General features: G+C 35.6%; 2 protein-coding genes across 16 annotated transcripts in view; one reads left to right on the forward strand and one right to left on the reverse strand.

Moving 5' to 3' along the window:
- Positions 1–27054, forward strand: part of ARL13B (ARF like GTPase 13B) — a 75524-nt gene that overhangs the window by 31965 nt on the left and 16505 nt on the right. For 13 of the 14 annotated variants that reach the window (NR_135621.2, XM_011512533.3, XM_011512535.3 and 10 more), the window contains 2 exons: positions 23212–23317; positions 24433–24635. Coding sequence is in view for 12 of the 14 variants with exons in the window: in XM_011512533.3 (XP_011510835.1) it covers positions 23212–23317; positions 24433–24635 (309 nt within the window). In the remaining 2 variants the exon portion in view is untranslated. Of the gene's footprint in view, positions 1–23211; positions 23323–24432; positions 24636–27054 lie in introns of all 14 variants that reach the window. The other variant, NR_033427.2, reaches the window with a different exon arrangement.
- On the reverse strand, positions 2246–16478 carry STX19 (syntaxin 19). Of its 2 annotated transcripts, XM_011512842.3 has the most exons (3): positions 16248–16478; positions 6320–6379; positions 2246–3163 (listed from the first exon to the last, which is right to left on the reverse strand). In XM_011512842.3, the coding sequence occupies exon 3, from the start codon at positions 3148–3150 to the stop codon at positions 2266–2268; it is 885 nt and encodes a 294-aa protein (XP_011511144.1). In that variant the 5' UTR covers positions 3151–3163; positions 6320–6379; positions 16248–16478; the 3' UTR covers positions 2246–2265. The 2 variants fall into 2 exon arrangements, with proteins under 2 accessions (XP_011511144.1, NP_001001850.1); NM_001001850.3 differs by lacking the exon at positions 6320–6379.

Consider the following 27054-nt stretch of genomic DNA (forward strand, 5'->3'; position numbering starts at 1 on the left):
TAAATTTTGAAATACTCCAGGCCCTTATCTGCACTTCCAGTTTTTTACATCCACATACTTTTCATACCACCTTACATAGCATTTATTTACTAAAATGACCCAAATCTGTACTTCTGGTCCTGACATATCTCAAGCACTCCTACTGATATAGCTAATATCCTAAAACCTCCACTTGGACCTTTTAATAGTCATTTCAGATTCTCTGGACCAAGATAGCATCTTTGATTTCCTTCTCATGGCCAATTCTGAAACCTTCGTCTCTGACTTTTCCCATGTCAGGAAATGGCATCATCATCTAATCTGTATCCTGTAATTCTACCTTTTAAATCTATCAGAAGTTAATCTAACTTTTTCCACCACCACTATATAGTATGTAGTAAGAGAATGGTTAAGAGCTGTTTCTGGAGTCAGACTGCCTGGGTTCATATCCCAATTCACTATGTGCAGTTTCTGTGACCTGGAACAGGTTAGTTAATTTTGTTGCACCTCAGTGTTCATATTGGTAAAATTGTAAAAATAGTGTCTACTTCATACTTTATCTACTCTGAAATAATTGGAACAATGAGTAGGACATTGCGAATACTTTATTCCTCTTTGATATTACTGTTGTTGCTGCCACCATCACCACCTCCTCTTCCATCCTAGTCCAAGCCACCATCATTTCTTCCTACTGCATTAACTTTCTAATTGTTTTCTATACCTATGTGCTTGTCTTCTACTCACCTCTCCCAAATCCATTCTAACCCATTCTTCATATGGTAGATAGAATGATCTTTTTCAAGTGTAAATTATATAATATTACTATTAGGTCTAGAAAAATCTGAGATCCTTGTGTTGATTACACTTGTGTGAACTTCAGACTTCTTTCCATGGCTTACAAAACCTTACATCTAGCCCTTGCTGACCTTTCTTAACCTCATCTCATATCTCACTGCTCTTTTCTGACTATGCCCCAGCTGGATTGTTATTTTTCTTTGCACAGAGTTAGTCAGACCCTCCTCAGGGTCTTTGTACTATTTGTTTCCTATGCCTGGAATTATACCCTCCCTTGTACTCATTCAGATCTTCAAGTAAATTTCACCTTTCAGAAAGGTCTTCGCTGACTACCCAATCTAAAGAAGCACCCCTTGACAGTCTCTGTCTCATTTCATTGCCCTTTTAAGTCTCTGCCCAGAACTTAACATTATCTAATATTTGTATTTATCTGCTTTCTCCATTAGAATGTGAGTTGCAAAACTCTATTCCCGTGTTGTGTGAATTTAGACTGTATCTCTAGCTTATAGTATAGTATAGCATTATCTTAAAGTCATGGCAAAATATTCAAGAATACAGTTGCCTTTAATTTGACTTTATCTGCCAGTCTGTAATACATTGCCCTGTATGGACCCAAGTTCAAGAAAGCAATACCTTAACTCATCTTCTTATTCCTTAAGCTAGATTCAGCTCCCAGTTACAAATTAGATTCTTCAAGTACATAGTTGAGTTTTCCCTGATCTGTTGACATTGAGTTAAGTTACCTTCTGAGGATAAAAGATTTGATAAAGGGCTGGGCATGGTGGCTCACACCTGTAATTCCAACACTTTGGGAGGCCCAGGGGGGCGGATCACTGGAGGTCAGGAATTTGAGACCAGCCTCGCCAACATAGCAAAACCACCCCCTCTACTAAAAATACAAAAATTAACCGAGTGTGGTGGTGCACACCTGTAATCCCAGCTACTCAGGAGGCTAAGGCACAAGAATCGCTTGAAACTGGGAGGTGGAGATTGCAGTGAGCCAGGATCATGCCACTGCACTCCAGCCTGGGTGACAGAGTGAAACTCTGTCTCAAAAGAGAAAAGATTTGATAAAGGTTCTAGTTTGGTTTAGCTTTATTGTAGCATGATTCTTAACTATTAAAATATTCTCCAGTCAGCCAAATGGATTGCCTAGGTAGTCATTACTACTTAACACATGAGAGAAATGTATAATATAGAGCTTGATACCTGACCAGAAGACTAAGATTATGCATCTCATTTTCAATAGTTAATTTGTGAGTTGATGGTAACTGTATTTTTTTGTACTTTAATTAAATAAAAGTGTGTTTTATGTAACTGGCTACAGAAGTTTCTGAAATTTTAGTGGGTTAGGGTTAAAGGGGAAAATTACAACTTAACAGTGATGAAAGGTATGTGAGTGGATCCATGAGATGGAGAAAAACAATACAAGACACTGAAATATAAGCTATCTTTTACCGTAAAGCTGGAAAAAGTTTTAAAATAGCTTCTTTATTTTGAGCTACAGCATGGACAGCACCAACAACACAGTACTCTGCAAGGATTTCTTTTTTTGTATTTTACAGCTAGTCCAAATTTCTCTTTAGTATTGTTAACATACTCTTTTGTACTATTCACTGTCATTTCAATATTGTTGATGCTCTCTCCTTGTTCCTCTACTAAAAGAGATATCTGAATGAAAAGATCCCTTAAATCCTTTATTTGGTTCTCCAAATTAACAAGTTCCTTGTGTCTCTGTTCAATCTCTGAAAGTTGTGCTTTAGTGATATTGATTTCTGTAAGTAAGCTTTCATTAAAAACTTCCCATTTTCCTTGATGAAGCATATCATTTACATCTTCTTCAGACATCTCTTTTCCAGCAACTTCAAGCTGACGTAAAATAAATGTCTTGCACTTCTCTTGCTTTGCTGCTATTGTGTCATTGTATATAAACATGATTTGCTGAAAATGGCGGAACATTGCAGCATGCTGAGATTTAAGTATCCTTGTGACCACTGAAGATGGACCATTTTCAACCTCTGACTTTTTAACTTCTTTAACTAAATCATTCAAACTTCTGTTGATGTATTCTGCCTGAATTTTTATCTCCTTTGTAATGGTAGACTCTCTCTTAAGTAGACTAAACCTTCTCATTGAAGCCACCAGACTTTTCTGTTGCTGCCCAAATTTTTGAACATTATCTGCCAAATTGTTAATACTTTCCTGTAGTTTTTGGATTTCATGTAGGTGTCTCTCAGCTACAGGCTCTCTTTCATAAATAACAGCTTGCTGTAGAAACACCCCTTGTTCCTCTGTTTCTGTAGTTGATACATGACTGTCTCTAGAGAGTTCAATTTCCTTTGTTCTCTGCTTTAGTTCTTGAAGTCGGTCTTTCATCTTCCCTTTCCTCCTAAGAAGCAAAAATTTTTGTGTTGAACAAGTAGAAATTTGGTATTTTTCCCCAGTAGCAGTTGACTTCACATAACTGTCTATATCCCAGCAAAAGTTCTCCTAGTTTTCTCAAATGAGGTTAAAAAGTTAGAAAAAACCAATGAGTTTCCTCATAAAAACCATTTAAATAGGGAAAGAAATATAAAATAATTTGTAAGTTACTTTGCATGTGAGTGCTATTTAGTTGTGTGCAATAGCTGAGAAAGCAGTGATGCAGACACAGTTGGTCAAAAATATTTGTCACATGATAGTTTTTTTTTGTAATAAAGAATGCTTTTGACTATACCTTCAACCTATAGGATTAGTCTTCAGATGCCAAAAATGCCCTTGTTACTAAAGATACTGTTTCCGGTTAATTTGGCCAATGTAATATTAAAAAATACTCATTTTGCTAAATATGCATCATTCAGTTAAAACCATTGTAGTGACAGTACAGATTTTATATGAGAACGTTAAGCTATATGGATAATATTGAATTTATTTTAAATTTTCCGAAGCCTCTGAATTAACGTATTACTTGGCATAATGTTTTTTCTAGCTGTTGCATATATGTGAAAACATTGGTTTGATTATGCTGATTTCTCATTCTTAGCATTCTTTTGCAAAGATATCCAGACTGTCTTAGAACAAAATTTATATCAATTTGTGTTAGGTGATACTTTTATAAACATGAGAATATATTTATATACAATCTTATTTTAGGAGTAATAATGATATTGACACTTATCACATGCTGTGTTGGTAGTTATCTGTAAGAATCAAATTGATGTACATAATTTATATTTAATGATATAGATATATATGAAATGACATACATACATATAAAATGAAGGGAATAAAAAGCAGTAAAATGCTATTATCACAGAGCAACTTGATTTTAGAAATGTCTTTCAAGACATTTTTGAAGATAAGAAGAGGCTGTTAGGGAGTACAGATAGCTCATTGGACCACATATAATATTAATATCAACCAGAAAAAAAAGGTCTCTGAATGTGATGCTGTTATGCTGTAGGACTCAGTGTTTGATATGTTTATGGAAATATTTCTATTAATCTGGATGTTGTCATAGGAGGCATACTTAACAAATGTGTAGATGGTGTAAAATTTGGAGGAATCTTTAGTATGTTGAAGTACAGGGTAGGGATTCAAATATTAAAATAGTGTGGAACTTTATACTAAAAATAACAAAAATATATTTAACAGGAATAGATTTAAAATATTTCATCTAGCTATAAGAAAAATATTTTCGTATCTACAGAGTAGAAGACCCTTGGGTTCACAATAGTGTCTATGAAAGTATTGGAGATTTTAATTAATTAAGCTTTCTTTTTTTTTTTTTTGGAGATGGAGTCTTGCTCTGATGCCCCGGCTGGCATGCAGTGGTGCGACCTCAGCTCACTGCAACTTCTGCCTCCCGGGTTTAAGTGATTCTCCTGCCTCAGCCTCCTGAGTAGCTGGGATTACAGGTGCCTGCCACCATGCCCGGCTAATTTTTGTATTTTTGGTAGAGACAGGGTTTCACCATATTGGCCAGGCTGGTCTCAAACTCCTGACCTCGTGATCCGCCCACCTTGGCCTCCCAAAGTGCTGGGATTACAGGTGTGAGCCACCGCTCCCAGCCTAATTAAGCTTTCTGTCAGAACCATCAGAATAGTCACTATGCTTTTATAAATAATAGTCTGATGTATGGATAGACTAAACTCTGCCAACTCTATGCTATTCAGAGCAAATTGCAAGGGTAAGGGGAACTCAATAAACTTCTGAGCATATTTTGAGATGGAAGTTCTTAAGTTAGGAATTACCAGACTAGCATGGAAAGGATGAGATTGGAAAACCATACCAAATGGAGACTCATTGAAATAAATGGTAATATTTGTCCTGTAAAAGAGAAGATGTAGGGTGTGTATACAGCTGTCTTCTAAACAAAGGTCTGTGTATGCAAGTGAGATTAGACTTACTTGGCATAACTCCAAAGGGCAGTGGGTGGAAATTACATGGAAAGAGGTTTGATTCAATATAAAGAAGACTTTTCAAACAAATATTGCTTTCCCAAGATGAAATGAGCTGCTTCATGAGGTGCTGAGTTTGCCATCACTGGACATTTTCAAGATGTTCTGGAATGATGACTCCAGGCAGGCATGTTACAGAAATGATGCCTGTTTTGGGTAAAAGGTTAAACCAATGTCCTGGTAATATTCCTTTGGTTTTAAAGGACTGGTATTTTGTGAAATAGTCATTGAAGTCTTATATGTATATAAGTTTTAAATGCTGTAATATATATTTAACATTTTCTGTCCTTGAGGAATTTATAATTTAGGGTGAGAAGGACAATATACAATTTAAAAGATAAACGGGATAATTTTAGGTTTTGATACAATAATCAGGCAGGGTCTCTAAGCAGATATTTGAGATGTGAGACTGAATGTTGAGAAGCCAGGCAGATGAAGAGCCGAGGGAGTGTATTGTAGGTCTAGGAGTTGGGTTGCCAAGGCAGTGAATGAGACTGATATGTTTTAGGAACAGAGTTATTGCATAAGAACAAAGTGAATGTAGATAGAAAGGAATGAGAGGAGTAACATGGGAAGAATGAAGTAGAAAGGTAGGCATGGACCACATCATAAAGGACTTGTGGGCCAAAGGAAGGAGTTTAGATTTTATTCTAGGTGCAGTAGAAGACAGTTAAAAGATAAATAGGATATTGACATGATTTGTATATATTTTTTCATTTTGATATGTAATTTAAAAAAATTTTAAACTGATACAGGGGTGTCCCTATGTTGTCCAGGCCGGTCTTGAACTCCTGGGCTCAAGCCATCTGTTCGCCTTGTCCTCCCAGAGTGCTAAGATTACAGGCATAAGCCACCATGCCTGGCCCTGATTTATATTTTTAAAAGATGTTGTTGCTTTCTATATAGAGAATAGTTTCCTGGGGAGGGGGTGGGAGTAGTTCACAGAAGAGACTTTAATGATAGAGATGGAGTAAATGGGAACCATCAGGATATATTTTTGAAACTAGAAGCAATAGGACTTGATGATTTTAACCCATCAGCACTTAACACAATCATTTCTTGAGACACTTTGAAGAAAAGTATTTCTCCTGTTTTTTTTCTCTTACCTTTTTGGCTCTTCCTTTATCACTATTTTCTTTTTCCTGGCTACTCCTTATCTCCCCCACCTGTAAATATTGGAAGATTTTAGACTGAGTCTCATTTTTATCCATCATCATTTTTTAGTCTCATGGCATTAAATGCTGTTTGTAAGCTGATGACCCAAATTTGTATCTCCAGTTTAGGTTGCTCTTAAAAAACTGCCTACCTGACAGCTGCATTTGAATGCCTCTATCCAAAATGAGCTCATAATCTTCCTGTGAACCCGTAAACTGCCCCATCTCTCTTCTGGCAACTCTATTTTTCCAGTTGCTCAGACCAGAGACTCAGAAGTCTTTTTTTGTTTGTTTTTTGAGACCGAGTCTCACTCTGTCCCCTAGGCCGGAGTGCAGTGGTGTGGTCTCGGCTCACTGCAACCTCCGCCGTCCGGGTTCAAGCAATTCTCCTGCCTCAGCCTCCCGAGTGGCTGGGACTACAGGCATGTGCCACCACGCCCAGCTAATTTTTGTATTTTTATTAACGACAGGGTTTCACCATGTTGGCCAGGCTGGTCGCAAACTCCTGATCTCAGGCGATCCGCCCTCTTCGGCCTCCCAAAGTGCTGGGATTACAGCTGTGAGCCACCGCGCCTGGCTGGAAGTCATTCTTGACTTTTTTTTTCTACATTTCATATGCAAGCACAGCAAATCTTGTCAACATCTCTTTCAAAATGTATTTGGATCTAGCCACCTCTTACCATCTCCCTGGTTCAAGTCCCTGTTATTTTTGTTAATTTTTTATTTTTGAGACAGAGTCTCCCTCTGTTGCCTAGGCTGGAGTGCAGTGGCACAATCTTGGCTCACTGCACCCTCCATCTCCCAGGTTCAATCGATTCTTCTGCCTCAGCCTCCCGAGTAGCTGGGACTACAGGCACATGCCACCATGCCTGGCTAATTTTTGTATTTTCAGTAGAGATAGGGTTTCACCATATTGGTCAGGTTGGTCTTGAACTCTTGACCTCATGATCCGCCCATCTTGGCTTCCCAAAGTGCTGGGATTACAGGCATGAGCCACCGCAACTGGTCAAGTCCCTGTTATTTTTCATCTTGATTGTTAACGATAGTCTCCTAAGTGTTCTCCTTGTTTCCTTTTTGCACCAACTACCCCCCATCCTGCCCCCACCACAAAACCTCTGGTCTTTTCTTAACACAGAATTCAGAGTTAAAATGTAGGTCAGACCATGTCATTCCTGTGCCTAAAATCCTCCTTTGGCATTATCTCTTAGAGGAAAAACTAGAGCCTACAAAGCTCCACAATGACTTCACCCCTTCTGTTACCCCTCCGACCTCACCTCCTACAACTCTCCCTTTCTCTGCTTCAGTCTCACTGTCCTTGCTGTTCTCACACAAATCTGGCACCATCTGGCTTTAGGGCCTTGGCACTTGCCTTCTCTTCTATTTGAAGTGTTCTTTCCCATGTAGTATGTGACGTTTTTCCCCAACCCAGTCCTTACTGAAATGTCACTCCTGAGTTAGGATGTTCTTTGTCACCCTATTTTGAACTATACCTTCTTTCAACTCTCTGACCCTTCCCAGCTTTATTTTTCTTAGCATTTTTCACTATTTAACATACCATGTATTTTACTTATTTATATTAACTTAATTGTCTACTTTCTCCTCCCAGTATTAACTCCATGAGATCAAGGGTTTTTATTCATTCTGGTACCTCATAGAGTTAATACTTAGAGGAGAAAGTAGAGGGTCTTTATTCTTTCCCAGCACCTTGATGAGTCTTATATTTACTTGAGTTCTTATGTTGAGATCTTGATATCTTAGATTTACTTGAGCTCTTAATATGTGCCAGGCACTAAGTGTGTTTTATGTTCTTATAAGAACAAGTATTGTCATGATCTCTATTCTATAGATAATGAAATTACGATCTCAGCTTTAGTAATTGAACCATGTTGTCAGCTAGTGGTAGAGTTGAGATTCAGATTCTGGCAGTATAGTTTGAAGGACTCAACTCTTTATACGACAGTATAGCATACTAGAGCATAGTAACTTCACTATGACATAGCATAGCTTTACTATGCTATGAAGGTTTTTCAGTGGTGTTAGATCATTTAGGGTGAGTTCTGAAAAGAGGCAATTAGGTCAGTTAAGTGGTTGGGAAAAGAGCCAGATCACAAGGGATAAGACCTTGAAATCTGTTTGTGTCAGGAAAAGGTGTTTTATAGATATTAAAAGTTTATTCGGAAACATTTGCTGTATTACTTTATTGCCACATGACTATATTGCTGAGCATTTTAAGTACCGGTGGGAAACATTTAAGAGCAAGTTTTTGTTGCTGAAATGCACTTAAAGCATTCTACTATTTATTTCACCTATTTTAAATACTTAATTCAAATAGCCGGTAATCTTTTGTTTTTGCCACTGATTTGCTATAGTAAAGGTAAAAAAGTTCAGTCAGTACAATTTATGTAAATAGGGGACTTCTAAGCTGGAAGGAGATTCCATACGCCTCTTCCTCTGCATATTTTTATTGTCTATATTCTACTTTACTGGCAAGGAACAGTTTCTCTACCTTCAGAGTAGAGCTAACCAAAGCTAGTGTTTCTATAAGATCCAAGGAAAAAAATGAGCTATGAATGATACTAAACCTGGAACAATTATGAAAGGAAGATTAGTCAGGAGGAATATTAGACGATACTATAGAAAGAATTGCCAGTTTTAGGTGTTAAAAAGTTGTTTTTGTCTTTCGTGTTTAATATTATTATATATATATATATATAATTTTTTTTTTGAGACAGGGTCTCGCTCTGTTACCCAGGCTGGAGTGCAGTGTCATGATCTCAGCTCACTGCAATCTCCACCTCCTGGGTTCGAAGCGATTCTCCTGCGTCAGCCTCCCGAGTTCCTGAGACTACAGGTGCCCATCACCATGCCCAGATAATTTTTGTATTTCTGGTAGAGACAAGGTTTCACCATGTTGGCCAGGCTCATCTTGAACTCCTGACCTCAAGTGATCTGCCCGCCTCAGCCTCCCAAAGTGCTGGGATTACAGGTACAAACCACCATGCCTGGCCAAATATTGTATAAAATATTTGATGCTTATCCAGGTATAGATACTTAAAGACATGTAAAACTATTGGGAAGTAATGTGGAAACTTTTTACCATGTGGCAACTTTGTGAAAGCAGAATTATCACCCATGTTTTATTATATACATCTGATAAGAACTAGTCTTCTTTTCAGTATAGAGAAAATTTGATGTTAAAGTAGGTTGGCTTAGTAATTTATCTTGTATAGCTTCCTAGTGTTCATTTTGTGGTTTAGTGGTATTTATGACTCCCTAATCTATAAGCTCTTTCTAGTATTACTATATTGATGCTGAAAATAAATTATTCCCCAAAGTGTTGAAGATACCATGTCGCATTTAATATAGCCATAAGCTTTTTAAATAAGCTTTTTAAAAATGTTATTTTTTCCCTCAAATTAATAATGCATGTACACAGGTTAACAAGTCAAGTCATGTCAAGGCTTCTAAAGATATATATCTGACCCTTACCTGCCGTACCACATCCCCTTTCCAATTCTCCATTCCTTAAAGACAGTCATAAAGGCAGTCATTTTCAGCTCCTTAGCTATATGTTGCATCTAAACTCCTGTTTCTAGGTAATTTGCATGTGTAGGTATTTTTGCTTCTTCAGTTTTATTTTATTTTATTTTTTTTGAGACAGAGTTTCGCTGTTGTCACCCAGGCTGGAGTGCAATGGTGTGATCTCAGTTCACTGCAACCTCCTCCTCCCTGGTTCAAGTGATTTCTCCTTGCCTCAGCCTCCTGAGTAGCTGGAATTACAGGCGCCTGCCACCACGCACAGCTAATTTTTGTATTTTTAATAGAGATGGGGTTTTACCATGTTGGCCAGGCTGGTCTTGAACTCCTAACCTCAAGTGATCCACCCGCCTCAGCCTCCCAAAGTGCTGGGATTACAGGTGTGAGCCACCGCACCCGGCTGCTTTTTTGGTTTTAGTTATTTTATTGAATTTCTTCTATGGAAGATGTGGATTTAATCTTCTCTCACACCCCCATTCTTCCCTCACCTTCCCCCTTTTAATACAGTTATATCACAAATTTTGGTTAATCAATATTTTGTGTTTACATTATTGTGACTACCCAAATATTATTTATATGTGAGTCACCTAAGGTACTGTAGCTGTATTTCCTTTCTCAAATAATTTTTTAAATTATTTCTAAGTTTTTTCAATGGATAGAGATAGAAAATGAATATATTTAAGAAAACTTCTTATTGACATATTTATATATACAGAAAGTCCCCCAGAACATAAATGTATATTATGGTGATTTTTCACAAAGTAAATACATCCATGTAACTACCACATAGATCAAGAAACATATAACATTTAATTTTAAGAAAATATTAATTACCAAAGTTTTTCACCTGCTTAATTTTGTACATACATCACTAATTCATTCTAAAACTGAAGTGAATTGAACATATCCTCTTGACATATTTAAATATAGAATATATATATTTTTATTTCATTTTATTCATCTTTTGAGGCTCCTTTCCTGGAAACTCTAATGTAACCTGATTGTGTTAGAATTTTCTTCCTCTTTTATATTCTCTATTTTTGATTTCCAATTCCTCACCTTTCTTGGTTTATCTCCTTGATTTGGGAGTGTACCATAGCTCCTTTTCAAAACATAAATGCAATGATAATTTTCATTACTGAAAATATTTTTATTCTGTCCTATACTTGAATACTATATTTTCTGTGGATATAAGTTTCAGTTGGAAATTATATTCCCTCAAAATTTTGAAAGTTTTGTTACTACATCTTCTAGTTTTGTTACCTCTGAATATTCTGCCCTGTGTTTTCTGATATTTTGTAGATCTGTTTTTATATTTCCTTTCATGAAATTCTTGACCTTTTTTTCATATTCCTGGTGTTCTGAAATTTCACAACAATGTGATCTGGGGTAGGTCTTGATGCATTTATTTGGTAAACATATAGTTGGTCTTTTCAACCTAGAAACTCATGTATTTACGGTCTTGCTTTTTTTTTAAATAATTTCTTTAAGAACTTTATTTTCTCCATTTTCTTTGTATTATTTTCATGGCCTTTCAGACATTAAGAAAATTAAAGAAACAGTCCAGTCCAAGAAAAGCAACGTCCAAATAAGGGGAATTTTAAAGTGACTTGCCTAAGGCCACACAACTAAAAGGTGGCAGATCCTACGTTTAGACATATCTACTTGATTGCAAATCTGTTCTTTTTCCCCTATTGTCTATTGAGTAGAAATTGGTTATCCTAGTGAAATATACACAAATAATGTTTATCTATATCAAATACTGTATTATGTTACTAATATACATACTATATCTATTTAAAAGAAAAAATTTAGCAGGAGATAATATAGCATATAGGATCTAAAATAATGTTGTTGTTTGAAGCTTTATTAGGATCTTTAATATAATCAGACCAAATTGATCACTTTACACTATAAAAGAAGAAAAATAATTTGGATCTCACAGACTGATGTTTACAGAAAGTCTAAGAAATATTGCATTTTATATTTGGTACTATATGGAGATTGATATTCTTATATTTTCTTCTGCTTCAACTCATAGTCATCTAACCAAATTTCTGTTTCCTTCTCTTGTACTAGCTTGTCACTATGAATTGTTTTTTAAAAATTAATTAATTAATCAATTAATAGAGAAAGGATCTCGCTCTTTTGTCCAGGCTGGTCTTGAACTCCTAGCCTCAAGGGATCCTTCCACCTTGACTATGAATTCTTAAAAATACAGCATATATAGCTGAAGTGCTAGTTGCCACATTATTATTTTTTAAACTGGGTTGCACCCGTGTAAATATAGGGAAAAAGAAAGAGTAACAATGTTAGAAGCTCAGAGGCGAGAGAAAGAGAAAGTGGCATCAAACAAAACAGATTTTGATTTTCTATCCATAAAAATTAAGTCCTATATTTATACAATGGTTCAGTAGCTTTTAACAATCTTTAATTTTCACATTCCTCAAGAACTACAACATCTTGAACTTTCTCTTTGGTTGCATGGTTTGGAACAAATCCTGAAACAACTCCCTCTAATGTTTTTATGACTGGAAAGATCTTTGTCCTTTTTTGGGCGTGTTGTTTTGTTTTATTTTTGAGATAGGATCTCACTCTATCACCCAGGCTAGAGTATAGTGGCTCAATTGCGGCTCACTGCAGCCTCTACCTCCCAGGCTCAAGTGATCCTTCTCCCTCAGCCTCCCGAGTAGCTGGGACTACAGTTGCATGCCACTGTGCTTGGCTGATTTTTTAAAATTTTTTGTAAAGATGAGGTCTTGCTGTGTTGCTCAGGCTGATCTCTAACTCCTGGGCTCAAGCAATCTTCCCACCTCCGCCTCCCAAAGTGCTGGGATTATAGGCATGAGCTAGTGCACCCAGCCTCTTTTTTAAAAAAATTAGAAATAAAGTAATCAAAAGCCTTTTTCTAAAGCATCATAGTTTAAAAATTTTTAAGAAATAGACTATTTCAAATTGCTATTGGAGCACAGTGTACACAGGCCTCTGGGAAGGTGAATTTTCCTGTGAAGTGCCTTTGAGAAGGTGCATTTTACTGCCACTGATTTTGGAAAGCAGGATATTTGAGTCTGACCTCTATAAAGGTTGTTTTTTTCCTGGATTTTTATCCATGTAATATCATTCCCTGAACATGCACCACACTTTTATATTTGAATAAAAGGTACTTTAAGGAGCCCTTTAAAATATATTAATATGTCCTTTTTATTAATCTTAATGAATTTACAAGCAAAAAACAAAATATCCTTTTTTTAATATCTGTATACATTATTGATATTAAAGGCAAAACATGGAAATAGAATCAGGTTTCCTTTCAGTGTTATACATCATGGCAATGCGTATTATGTAAACGATGTTTAAAGTGAGCTATAAAGGTTATACTGTGTTTGTCTTGGTTTATGGATCCTATGCCTGTATTTCTTTTGAACATTTAGAGAATATTTATGTGAAAGATCCTTTACATTATTAGGTTATTTCTAGTTTCTTAGGAGTAAATTCCTATGTTTGCTGTGGCCACGGACTGGTGACCACTCTGTTAAATGTGGGCAAGTGTATTTAGTGAAATTCGTCAGTAGCCTAGCTTCATTGGGGAGTTATACAAGAATGCTCTGAGTGTCCTGATCAATTATGGATACATTGAGGCTATTTTTTTGATTGTCACTACCAACGCCCCATGGAGTTTGCCCCTTGTAGCCCAGGTAGTATTATGTAGGCCTAATTTTTCTCTAGTGATTTTTATAGCCTAAGTGGATATCTCACTTCCTGCTATAATCCTGGGCAAGTCAACAGAGTTATTCCTGTCTTTGTATACAGATTATGTTGTATTATTCCTAGTTAACTGTTTCATCTAGGAAACTCAGTTTTAGTTCCCTATAATGCAACAAACTCTAAACCTCAGCTTTAAGGTAAAGTATTTGCCCAGTGTAATTAGCTTTAATTACTACTCTTCACTTTGGCTTTAAGTATGTTTCCTCATCATTTCTGGCACCTGAAAACTTCTCTTTTTTTTTTTTTTTTGAGACGGAGTCTCTCTCTGTCGCCCAGGCTGGAGTGCAGTGGCACCATCTCGGCTCACTGCAAGCTCCGCCTTCCGGGTTCACGCCATTCTCCTGCCTCAGCCTCCAGAGTAGCTGGGACTACAGGCGCCCGCCACCACACCCGACTAACTTTTTATATTTTTAGTAGAGATGGGGTTTCACCGTGTGAGCCAGGAGAAAACTTCGCTTTTTTACTCTAAAATTTAGTGATGTTGTTTTAAAATTTGTCTTTTTTAAACTTACGATTACATCAAATTCTGTATGTTTAGAGAAAGAGGGAGTAACTTCTGTATCTGTGCATTTTGACTGAAAGTCACAGTTGCTTATCTTTATAGAATTAACATAATTGAGAATGTTTCCCTAAATCCTTGTTCATCTGTGTAGAAATTGACTTGATAGGTACTCAAATATGTTTATATGCTGTATATAAATTACATTTTCTAGTAGTTGCATACTCATAACTATATGTATAACTATCCAATTTATTGATCTTATATCTTCATGAATTAGAATGTTAGGCAAAATGAGACAAATAAGCATGTTAGAATTTAAAACATGCAAGGACAGGATTCATATAAGCATAAAATATGAAGCTCATAGTTGTGAAATCATTTAATTGCTTAGACTAGGTGAAATTGATGAAATTACTATTTTATGCAGTCTGTTATGTACCTTAAATTTATTATGTTGGAAGAGTTATATACAAATATGAATCATCTTTTATTATGTTTAACTTGCAGCATTGCTATACAGTTTTGAATTTTACTAGCAAGAACTGTATCTGTGAGCTTAAACATGATATTTAAAAAAGAAAGAACACTAACTCGTATGTATGATAATCAACTTGGACAACTTGTTCTGGGAAATAGAAAAGTAAACTGGTGCGACTCAAATAAAAGGTTCTCTGCCCTATTACAGACACTGAAAATCCCTAGAAACAGAAACATGAGTAAAAATTACCTTGTACTTTTAGAAATATGCCCTGGGATAGATACTTAGTGTATTTATAGATTTTTTTAAAGTAGGCCATTTCTTTTCATAGTTACTGTAATGATTAAATAAAACATTTCAAGAAATATGACCAGTTTTTACCCAAGAGAAAACAGAATATTCTGTTGCTTTTGTATATGAAGTCAACTTGCCACATTTTTCTAGTGCAAGTGAAAGCAGAGGATCTTATTGTAATATATTAACCTCTTTGGCTACTAAAGTGAGGGCCAAATAGTAGTTTCTAAAAACTAAAAAAAAATTGCAAATTGCATATATTGTCTAATTTTGAAGTATCTGACTTTTTTTGCAATGTAAACTTTCAATGCTTTTTTCTACATTTTATTTAGTCTAAATAACTTATTGAATTAACTTGTATAACAACATTAAGATCATTTTTGTTTAAATATGATGTATAATTTTTGAACTTTTATCTGATTCAAGTAAGCTGTACATACATAAAATGATTTTTATATTACATTTAAAACTGCATAGCTGTGAAGATAATGTGTTCGAGGTATTACGTGGCCAATTCTCAAGTCCACCTTTAAAATACATATAAAAGTCATTATTATTTTGATTTGAAATGGAATATTTATTAAATTCTAACATAGTAACAATTATAACTTTGAAAGTATCTAACCTATCTACATATGTTGTATTTAAATGATGCTGATTTAAATTTTTCAAACTATCAATTAAATGCTAACACTTACGTTAAATGGTATAACAAGTATTTTTAATGTACTAGTTGAAATATTATAAAGGTTAGTGAGTACTTCGATATTTTCTGGTAGCCCTTTCACAAGATTATTTTCTCATTTTTTCAATTTTAGAAGATTCTAGTAAACAACAATGAAGCAATTAAGACCATTATAGCAAATTATTTCAGATTTTTAAGGTTATACGTATGTGTCAAATTTGGGTATAAGCTGCTTTTCAGAGTGAAATATAAAAATGTTCTCTAAAGTAAGCACATTCATAGTCTGTCTATAAAAGAAATAATTTTAGATCTGTTTTTACATCTGACTTTCTAGTATTTTTTAAATGAGAGCTTACTTTTTAAAAGACTTAAAAATTTTTTCTTTCCTCTAAAGTTGATTTTTATTATCGTAGTCTATTTTCAAGAGCTTTATACCCAGATCCCAGTCAGCATGTCAGTAATATATGTGAACAAATCAGCTACTGGTACCCCGGTCCAAATCTGAGCAAAACAAGTAACCCTCATTATTTGTTGAGTGATTTTTAAATGTAACAGTGTAACCAGATGTCAGTCTATGGATACCTCATATTAAAAAGTACAGAAAAGAGTCATTATTTACCTTTCTGTTTTCTTCCTTTTGTTGGTTTTCCACCTGCGGTGTTGGAGTCCTGCCTTTGAGAGAATATCTGAATATCATCTCATGTTTTGAACAAATTATCTAAATCTCTGTCTTATAGGGCACAGACTAATTTCTGTATAGTTTTCATGTTGTTAATTTGAAAGCCAAATAATGAAGTCAAATAAGAGATAAAGTTGTACGTTTGCTGTTAATAGCAAGTGAAAATAGATTGCTTACTTCACACCTGGAGAATCTGGTTCTGCCTGTTAGACGCCTATTCTTTAGATTAAAGGAAGATCATTTTCATTGGAGCTAGTCGGTAACAGGAAGTCCTCGTTAAACTGCCTACGTAGAGTATTTGGCACTGGATCTGCAAATTTAGTCCTACATTGTATATGTAATATATTATTCCAAGAAAATGGGTTTGTATTTAAACAAAGGTTACTTTCTTTTCTATAGATATCAAAACTTACTAAAAATATGGAATTAAATAGGAATGAAAAGAAGCTTGGTGTAAAAGCTTTTTTTGTTCCATTTACTTTAAAATGGTTGAAATCTGTCCTATTTTAGGAAATCCCAAAAGAGCTTAGCTCACAAAATCATAGAATTTCAGAAGGAGAACATCCAGGAAAGAGCTCATGTCTGTAAACCATTCATCCCACGTTACTTTTAATTTTTTTTACTTTTTATTATGCCTGCTGTTTTTATTTTAAAATAAATTTTATATAGAACTAAAGTTATCCAGCAATATATGTTAAATCATTTATTTTGTCAATATAACAACTCAAAATTAATTTATACCAGAGGGAAATGTTTATAGGAAGAATTAAAAATGAAAATTTCTCTTGTACTACCAAATTTCAGACCCATTTTTTCTACCTGACTTGTTACTATTTGAGGGCAAGAAGAAGGAAATTGCTGTATCTATCAAAATCATATATATATATATATATATATATATATATATATTTATTTTTTTTTTATTTTTTTTTTTTTTTGAGAAGGAGTCTTGCTCTTGTAGCCCAGGCTGGAGTGCAGTGGCACGATCTTGGCTCACTGCAACCTCCGTCTCCCGGGTTCAAGCAATTCTGCTGCCTGAGCCCCATAAGTAGCTGGGATTACAGTTGCCTGCCACCACGCCCAGCTAATTTTTTTGTAGAAATGGGGTTTCACCATGTTTGCCAGGCTGGTCTCGAACTCCTGACCTCAGGTGATCCACCTGCCTCAGCCTCCCAAAGTTCTGGGATTACAGATGTGAACCACCATGCCCGGCCAATCACATTTATATTTATTCTTTGTTTTAACAGTTCTACTTCCTGGAATCTGTACTCAAAATAAGAAATGACTCCTTTACACACCTACTTTTTATAGCACTCTTTGTAAAAACAAAACACTGGAAACACAAAAGTCCTTCAGCGTAGAACTGGCTGAATAAATGATGGAACATTCAAAGGGGAGCATTTTGCAATTATAGAAAATAGTGAAGATTTTATTATACTGCTTCAGGGTACTTCAAAATTTACTGTTCAGTTAAAACAAGCATGCTGCAGAAGAATATATATAATATGCTAAGTTTTAGGAAGAAAGGAAGGGTAGATATAAATATTGTATATATACACAAATACATAAACCAGTCAATAGCATTGAATATTCACAGTGCCCAAATTATGGTCCTTGAAATACCATTTTCTCCATACGCTTGTTTATATTTTCAAAAAGAAATAATGGGAGGATGAACTAAACACGAATGAAAATGGTTACCTATAAGGGAAGGGAAGGAAAAGGCAGAGAGATAGCAAATAGTTCCTTTCTGATTGTACCTTGTTTTTATAGTTCTGAATTTAGAACCATATAAATATTTTTTTATTTTTATTTTTTGAGACAGGGTCTCACTCTGTCACCCAGCCTGGAGTGCAGTGGCGCGATCTCGGCTCACTGCAACCTCTGCCTCCTGGGTTCAAGCGATTCTCATGCCTCAGCCTCCCGAGTAGCTGGTATTACAGGTGCACGCCACCACGCCTGGCTCATTTTTTTTTTTTTTTTTTTTTAGTAAAGACAGGGTTTCACCATGTTGGCAAAGCTGGTCTTGAACCCCTGACAAATGATCCACCCACATTGGCCTCCCAGAGTGCTGAGATTACAGGTGTGAGCCACCACGTCCAGCCGATATAAATATTTTAGAAATTAAATCTTAAAACAAATACACAAACGATCTCTAAAATGCAAAAGCACCTAGAAAGAAATGAACCTAGGTATATATCTAGGTGATGGCAAAACCACACAGAGAAGTACTATTTTAAGTAATTTTAAAACAGTATTATTGACTCTGCATCTCTAGTGGGATATAGCGTAGAGACAAAGATACGTAACCACAAAGATATGTTAACCTGCACTTAGTAGTCTTAATATTTAGTAATCATATTGATATTATTATGTTAAAATTCCTATATATAGTTGGATAAAACAAATAATGTCATTAGAAACTGTAGTTTTCAGCATAAGTAAAAAGAGATACAAATAAGATCTAAGGCTGGGCACAGTGGCTCATGCCTGTAATCCAGTACTTTAGGAGGCTGAGGCAGGAGGATTGAGCCTAGGAGTTTGAGACCAGCCTGGGGAACATAGTGAAACCCCATCTCTGCTAAAATAATTTTTTAAAAAAAGAACGTTCGAACACTAGCTGGGCATAGTGGTATGCGCCTGTAGTCCCAGCTACTTGAGAGGCTGAGGTGGGAGGATGGCTCAAGCCTGGGAGGTAGAGGCTGTAGTGAGCTGTTGTCACACCTCTGCACTTAAGCCTGGGCAACAGAGTGAGACCCTGTCTCAAAGAAATAAACAAAAACAAGATTTAAGAAGCTAAGTAAAACTTGGTAGTTGATTTGAAATGAAAAAATCAACACGAATACATGGTTAGATTTTTTTTTTTTCTAGAATAAAACTATTTCCTAGCTTTGTGCACTGAAAGGGCCTAGAAGCAGTAGTAAGTCAATAGCAAATGTTTATCTATAACTCCTAGGTTTTAGTCTTTAAAATGCCATTTTCCACTGAAAAGATCAAGGCTTCTTGGGGAAATGGATGATTGCAAGTCTGGAACCTTGTTTCATAGTAGAACATAAAGAAGCTATCAAAGACTGTTGGAGTTGTACCAAAAGGGTCCAAGAGCCAACCTGAAGGGGACTCCTGCTGCCTCAAAATGGGTACCTTTGAGCCTTAAAAAGAGCAATAACTGCAACAAATTGAAACACATCAAATACATTTTTAAATCCATAAGTTCATAATGATGCCTCTCAAAATAAGAAAAAGTACCAAAAAGCCTGAATAGCCAAAGCAGTCCTAAGCAAAAAGAACAAAGCTGGAGGCATCATATTATCTGACCTTAAATTATACTACAAGGTTATTGTAACCAAAGTAGCATGGTACTGGTATAGAAATAGATGAATAGATCAATGGAAAAGAATAGAGAACCCAGATGATGGGTACAGCGATGCTAGGAAAATTCAATTGCCATATGCAGAAGAATGAAACTGGAACCCTGTCTCTCACCATATACAAAAATTAACTCAGGGTGCATTAAAGACTTAATGTAAGACCTGAAAAATACTGGAAGAAAACTGATGAAACTCTTCTGGACATTGGTCTAGGCAAATAATTCATGACTAAGACCTCAAAAGCAAAAGCAACAAAACCAGAAATAGACAAATGGGACTTAATTATTAAGTAAAAACTTCTGCACAGCAAAAGAAGTAATCAATGGAGCAAACAGCCTGCAGAATGAGGGAAAATATTTGCGACCTCTTTATCCTATAGGAGACTAATAACCAAAACTTACAAGGAAATCAACAACAAAAAACAACCCCATTAAAAATGTGCAAAAGACATGAATAGTCATTTTTCAAAAGAAGACATACAGATGGCCAACAAGCATATGAAAAAAATGCTCAATATGCCTAATCAGAGAAATGCAGATTAAAACCACAATGAAATACCATCTCACACCAGTCAGAATTTTTAGCTGTTACTGAAAAGTTAAAACATAGCAGATGTCTGCGAGATTGTGTAGCAAAAGGAATGTTTATACACTCTTGGAATGTAAATTAGTACAATCACTATGGAAAACAGTATGGAGATTTCTTTTTTTTTTTTCTTTTGAGACGGAGTCTCGCTGTGTTGCCCAGGCTGAAGTGTAGTGGCGCGATCTCGGCTCACTGCAAGCTCTGCCTCCCGGGTTCATGCCCTTCTCCTGCCTCAGCCTCCCGAGTAGCTGGGACTACAGGCGCCTGCCACCACGCCCGGCTAGTTTTTTGTATTTTTAGTAGAGATGGGGTTTCACCGTGTTAGCCAGGATGGTCTCGATCTCCTGACCTTGTGATCCGCCCGCCTCGGCCTCCCAAAGTGCTGGGATTACAGGCGTAAGCCACCGTGCCCGGCCAGTATGGAGATTTCTTAAAGACCTAAAAAAAGAACTACCATTCAGTCTAGCAACCTCACTACTGGGTACCTATCCAAAGGAAAAGAAATCATTATACAAGAAAAGATATCTGAACTCAAGATGTTTATCACAGCATTATTCACAGTAGCAAAGGTAGGGAGTCAACCTAAATGTCCTTCAATGGATGATGAAAGAAAATGTTTGTGTGTGTGTTTTGTATATACATACATAAAATGGAATGCTATTCAACTATTTAAAAAAGCATGTTTTTTCCAGCAACGTGGATGGAGCTGGAGGTCATTTTTTAAAGTGAAATAATTCAGAAACAGTCAAATCTAGCGTGTTCTCACAAGTGGAAGTTAAATAATGTGTACACATTGACATGGAGTGTGGATTAATAGACATTGGAGACTTGGACAGGTGGGAGGGTGGAAGGGGAGTTAGAGATGAGAAATTAATACCTACAATGCACATTATTAAGCTTATGGTTACACTGAAAGCCCAGACCTCACCACTATGCAATATATCACCACTATGCAATACATTTACATCACAAAACTGCACTCATAATCCTTAAATTTATAGGATTTTTTTTTTTTAAATCAACCTGATCACCTTCGGAGGTTGCTACGCCATTAATTCATTATTTTGAAAATCAGGAAATAAAGGCAAAGGATCAAACATTTATCTTGACTTTGTGAATTTTAAGAGGCACCAAGTAGTTGGTGAAAGCTTATTTTTAGCAAGAATCCTGCTAGTAAATGCAGAAGGAATATGGAACTATAAAGTTACTGTTTCATAAACTTTGGTAAAATAATAGAATTAAGTAAAGGTCATCAATGGCTGCTAAAATCATTAAGTGAAAGATTAATGAGGAACTTTATTTTGGATGGATCAGGCTAAATGTAAATCCATTAGTTAATTTTATACCACCAAAATAGGACATTATATAAAAGTGATATTATATGCCTCCCTAAATACAAGCACCACCTACGAAGTATGCTTGCCAAAAAGATTTCATCTGAAACTCATCCAGCTTCTTACCACCAGATACGGGAAATATAGGATAGGTATGTTAAATAAGTTTATAAGGAAGATATTAGCCAAATCCCAAACATGGGAATTCTAAAGAAAAATTACAAATGTCATGGGAGGAAAAGAGTCATGGGGGTGGTAGTGGGGAGGGCAGGTATAATATAGATTCAAAAAGAGTTAAGTGATAAGTAACGTATATTGGACCTGAATTTAAACATAACACTTGTAAAATGATATTGGAGAATATTGAGTAAATTGAGTAATATTGAAGACTTACTGTTAATTTTGTTAGGTGTGATAGTGGTATCATGGTAATGATTTTTTAATATCTGGGTGAAGTAATGTGATTCAGGCAGCAAAATAGAAGGTATGTAGATTTTAATGGTAACTTGGGAAATACAAAAAAAAAGAAGGTATATAGATAAGCAAGAATGACACAGTTTTGATAATTTTTAAAGATAGGTGGGAAGGGTTCGTTAGATTTCTTAGTCTATGTACTTAATTTTTTTTTTAACCTAAAGAGTCTGTCAAACTTTGAGCAAGGCAGTATTTTATTAAACTTTTAAATCTATGTTATATAATTAAATAGTGGTAAATTGTGGTAAATCCTGTTTTTCTGTAGAATATATTGGTTTTCCATTTTGTTGGTGTCCAGTTTGTCTCTAATTGAGTACAATTTTTTTTTTTTTTTTAATTCCCAGTGCTTTGCCAAGTATATTAGAAGTGGCCTTGGGTCTTCAGTAAATTGCACATTTATGTGGACACATTCACACATTAGAATTGTAGATGAGCTCAAATATTAAAAGTTCAGAATGAATATTTGGGCATTTAAAACATTACAGTTTGTATTTTAAGAAGATAAGAATATAATTTATGGATGTGACCTGTGGAAATTAGTCCTCTTATTTTTCTGTTTTGTAGCTTTTTCTGTTTTGTTGGCATATTGATCTCTTGTTTATGTTTTCTTGACACTTTATTTGATTTTCCTTTTATAGGCCAGTACTTAAAAACTATTTTAGCAATAATAAGGGAAAAATGACAAAATTGATGCTACAACATTTTAAGATACTAGTGTGTTCTGTAATCAGTACATTTAAAACTTGGGAATCAAAGAATGTGGTCAGGCCAGGCATGGTGGATGATATCTGTAATCCCAGCACTTTGAGAGGCTGAGACTGACAGATCACTTGAGGTCAGGAGTTCAAGACCAGCCTGGCCAACATGGCGAAACCCAGTCTCTACTGAAAATACAAAAAATTAGCCTCGCGTGGTGGCACACAACTGTAGTCCCAGCTACTCTGGAGGCTGAGGCAGGAGAATCACTTGAACCTGGGAGGCGGAGGTTGCAGTGAGCTGAGATTGCACCACTGTACTCCAGCCTGGGAAACAGAGCAAGACTCAGTCTCAAAAAAAAAAAAAAAAAAGAATGTGGTCAAAATATCTTTAAGTTTCCATCCAATTATATATATGCTGTATAAAAGTACTTTAATTATCTTTCAGGTTGGCAAATAAACAAGATAAAGAAGGAGCTTTAGGAGAAGCTGATGTCATTGAATGTCTATCTCTGGAAAAATTGGTCAATGAGCACAAGTGCCTGTGTCAGATAGTAAGGTTTTTTTTTTTTTTTTAATTTTAATTTTTTGTCCTTTCAAATAGGTTCAGTATAACTTGGTTTTTATAAAAGTGATAGCAATTAAAAGGCAATGTTTTCAAAGAATTTTTTGTAACCTATGAAATCACATTCCCATTTTTCTGTTGATATAACTTAATACCATAATATTTGTTGTCTATTTCATTGTTATTTCCATGAACTATCTTTCCATGATTTCAAGGAGCTTCACATTTGCGTTTTAACATAGCCAACACATCATGGCATGAAATTTGTAAAATGGGAAAGAAAAGTGTAAATACAAAATTTAAACATATGAGAGATTCATAATGAATTTTGAAAAATTATTTTGCTGGGCATGGTAGCTCATGCCTGTAATCCCAGCACTTTGGGAGGTTGAAGGGGGCAGATTGCTTGAGCCCAGGAGTTTGAGACCAACCTGGGCAACATAGTGAGACCCTAGCTCTACAAAAAATACAAAAACTAGCTGGGTGTGGTAGTGTGTTCCTGTAGTCCCAGCTGCTTGAGGGGGCTGAGGTGGGAAGACCACTGGACCCTGGGAGGCTGAGGCTGCAGTGAGTTCTAATTCAGCCACTGCACTCCAGCCTGGCCAACAGAATGAGACACTGCCTCTAAAAAACAAAAAAAGAAAAGATAAATCATATCAGGAGAGATGTCATACAGTCTTAAGGAAGATGAACAGTGGATTTAATAATTTATTTTGGTTTCAAAAAACATTAGGCTGTCAATCTTATGGATGTTTACTGCTGTATATTGTAGTATAAGGAATTAAAACTTCCTGGCATTTTTAATCAATAGAGATGTCTTTTTATGGTAGTTAAATTTTTTCTTCTAATATTATAAGTGGCACTGTCACCCTCTTCTTTATAATATCTTACATAGTGTACAGATGTTATCTGTAAAATATTTTAAGTTCTATATACTGATGTTAATCATTGCAGTGCTATGTTTTGGAAGTTAAATAAGCAGATGCTTCATATTATTAACTTAAATGGCTTAATTTTGATTTGCCATTAATTATACTTAATGGTTTATGAATAGATTTGTGTGGAGACCTTTTAATCTTTTAGTCAAATAAATTTCTGTTTTAGGAACCATGTTCAGCAATCTCGGGGTATGGAAAGAAAATTGACAAGTCCATTAAAAAAGGCCTTTATTGGCTGCTACATGTTATTGCAAGAGACTTTGATGCCTTAAATGAACGCATCCAAAAAGAGACAACAGAGCAGCGTGCTCTTGAGGAACAAGAGAAACAAGAAAGAGCTGAACGAGTGCGAAAATTACGAGAAGAAAGGTAAGTAGATTAATTTTGTACCACAGTGCATTTGAAGGATCAAAAACATAACAATTTTATGAATCAGTTGTTAGTTTTATCTGTTCAGTTTCTTCTTTCTGTGTGAAGGAAGACACTAGGTAAATTTTGTATTTCTGTGGATCTTTTTCTGTACAAGTTTGGGTGGTAGATTCCTAATTTTTCTGGTGGTTGTATAATAGTTAAATTTACTCCTTACGTAGCCATTGTCTTCCAGAGTTTTAAATTTTTGTCTCTGATTGCTTGTGGGTACCTTAGTGCAGTGGTTCTCAATGCACAGGGTAGTTTTTAACATTTGGCAGTGTCTGGAGACATTTTTAGTTTTCACCACTAGGGGAAGGAGTGGAGTACTACTTGGAATCTATTGGGTAGAGGCCAGGGATGCAGCTAAACATCCTATGACACACAGGACAGTCTCCCACAACAAAGAATTATCAGGCTTAATATGTCAATAACGTTGAGACTGAGGAACCTTTTTAGTTTCAGCAAGGATAGAAGGTGAGCTGCTAGAGAATCATTCAACTCAAGCAAAATCTGATCCATAGTTGCCTTCCATCTGGCCTTTTATGTAGTTTAACATAGTTGTAGCCCAGTGAGCAAGAACTCACTACCCTTGGTGACCCATTATGAGGTACTTCCTTATACCGTGAAGGAAATCCTCTGATAACTGGTATTTTTCATTTAATTCATCAATAGGACTTAAAGAAATATTTATAGAAATGACTCTCTATCCCCAAGTGCTCAATAATATGAGCGTGCCTTTCATCTAGGGATCTCTTTATATAAAAGACAGATTAGAGTGAATGATTTTGGCAGCTGTTGATACAAGGTTTTAGTTCCTGTGAGAATATTTGTTTTTTTCTTAGTATGTATTTTTATCATATAAAGCTCAGTACAACCAATCATGCATGTTAAGTATACCTTTTATATATAATATTTATAAAAATTAAATATATGGCCATAATTATGTGAAAACTCCTTTTCCTCCACTAAGAAAATAAAAACAGAAGCAACAAAAAAATTGAGTTGGATAAAAGAAATCTAATGTTAGTAACTTTTTAAATGTTTTTGCCTTTTCCATAATGATATTCTAGATCATGTTATGGCAGGCTTTTCCAATACTCCTTACCCTTTCTTTCTTTCTCTTTATCCATGCCAGTTGTGGTCTGAGACCTCTCCTCTTGAGGAGACCTCTTCTGTTGAGCCAATACTCCATAATTAAAAGCAAATTGACATTCGGAGACGGGTGATTAAAAACAAGCTTTTTACTTCACTAAATCCAATCTAATTGGTTCAGATAGTCATTTCTAGTGTTTTTGAAAAACAGTAAAACATGCCAAGTAAAAATAATATATTAATACTGTATTCCTGAAGTTGCTTACTAATAAATAAAATTAATAACAATGACTATCCTATGAGAAAGTTAATTCACAGAGTGTTCTCACATATATTACTTTATCTGACCCTTGATACAGCTCTATGAAGTGGTTATTTTTATTCACATTTGTGGGAAAGCTAAGGCTCAAAAGATCCAGGTCCAAAGTCACAGAAGTAGTAAATTGCAAATCTCCAAATCTTGGCTTCCTAGGTTCATAATAAAAGGATATGTATTTCCATCTAGAACACAGCTAGTAAATATTATGGTAATGAACATTTACATTGCTATACCATACTTACAGTCCAGTTAAAGATCCACAATACTTGTGTTTCTTTCTTTTTTTTTTTTTTGGTCTCTGGCTGCTCTTTTTTTTTTTTTTTTTTTTTTTTTGAGGTGGAATTTTGCTCTTGTTGCCCAGGCTGGAGTGCAATGGCGCAGTCTCGGCGCACTGCAACCTCCGTCTCCCAGGTTCAAGCGATTCTCCTGCCTCAGCCTCCCGAGTAATGGGGATAACAGGCATGCACCACCACACCCGGCTAATTTTGTATTTTCAGTAGAGACAGGGTTTCACCATGTTGATTAGGCTGGTCTCAAACTCCTGACCTCGTGATCCACCCGCCTCGGCCTCCCAAAATGCTGGGATTACAGGCGTGAGCCACCGCACCCGGCCGGCTGCTCATCTTAATAACATTACTCATCATGTATGGAACAACATTACTATAAATCACAGAGATAGTAAATGTTCAGTGGTAACTAATATGGAAATACTTATTTAATCTGAATGATACATATGGTAACTTATTTTTATAGCCACTGAACACTATTATGGAAGTTATTATCTAGTTCAAATATGATACACAACTTGATAAAATATTTTATATTACTACTCTGTCATATACTTCTATAGAATCAATCTGTAGATATTCTAGTCTTTTATTCTTTTATACTAAACAAGAAACATGTTTATGCAGAAATAAAAACATAGGTTGAGTTGAAGGAATGTTTTCCTAGTTTTGTAAGAGA

Source organism: Homo sapiens, chromosome 3 (genome assembly GCF_000001405.40).
Source record: "Homo sapiens chromosome 3, GRCh38.p14 Primary Assembly".
Lineage (NCBI taxonomy): Eukaryota > Metazoa > Chordata > Mammalia > Primates > Hominidae > Homo > Homo sapiens.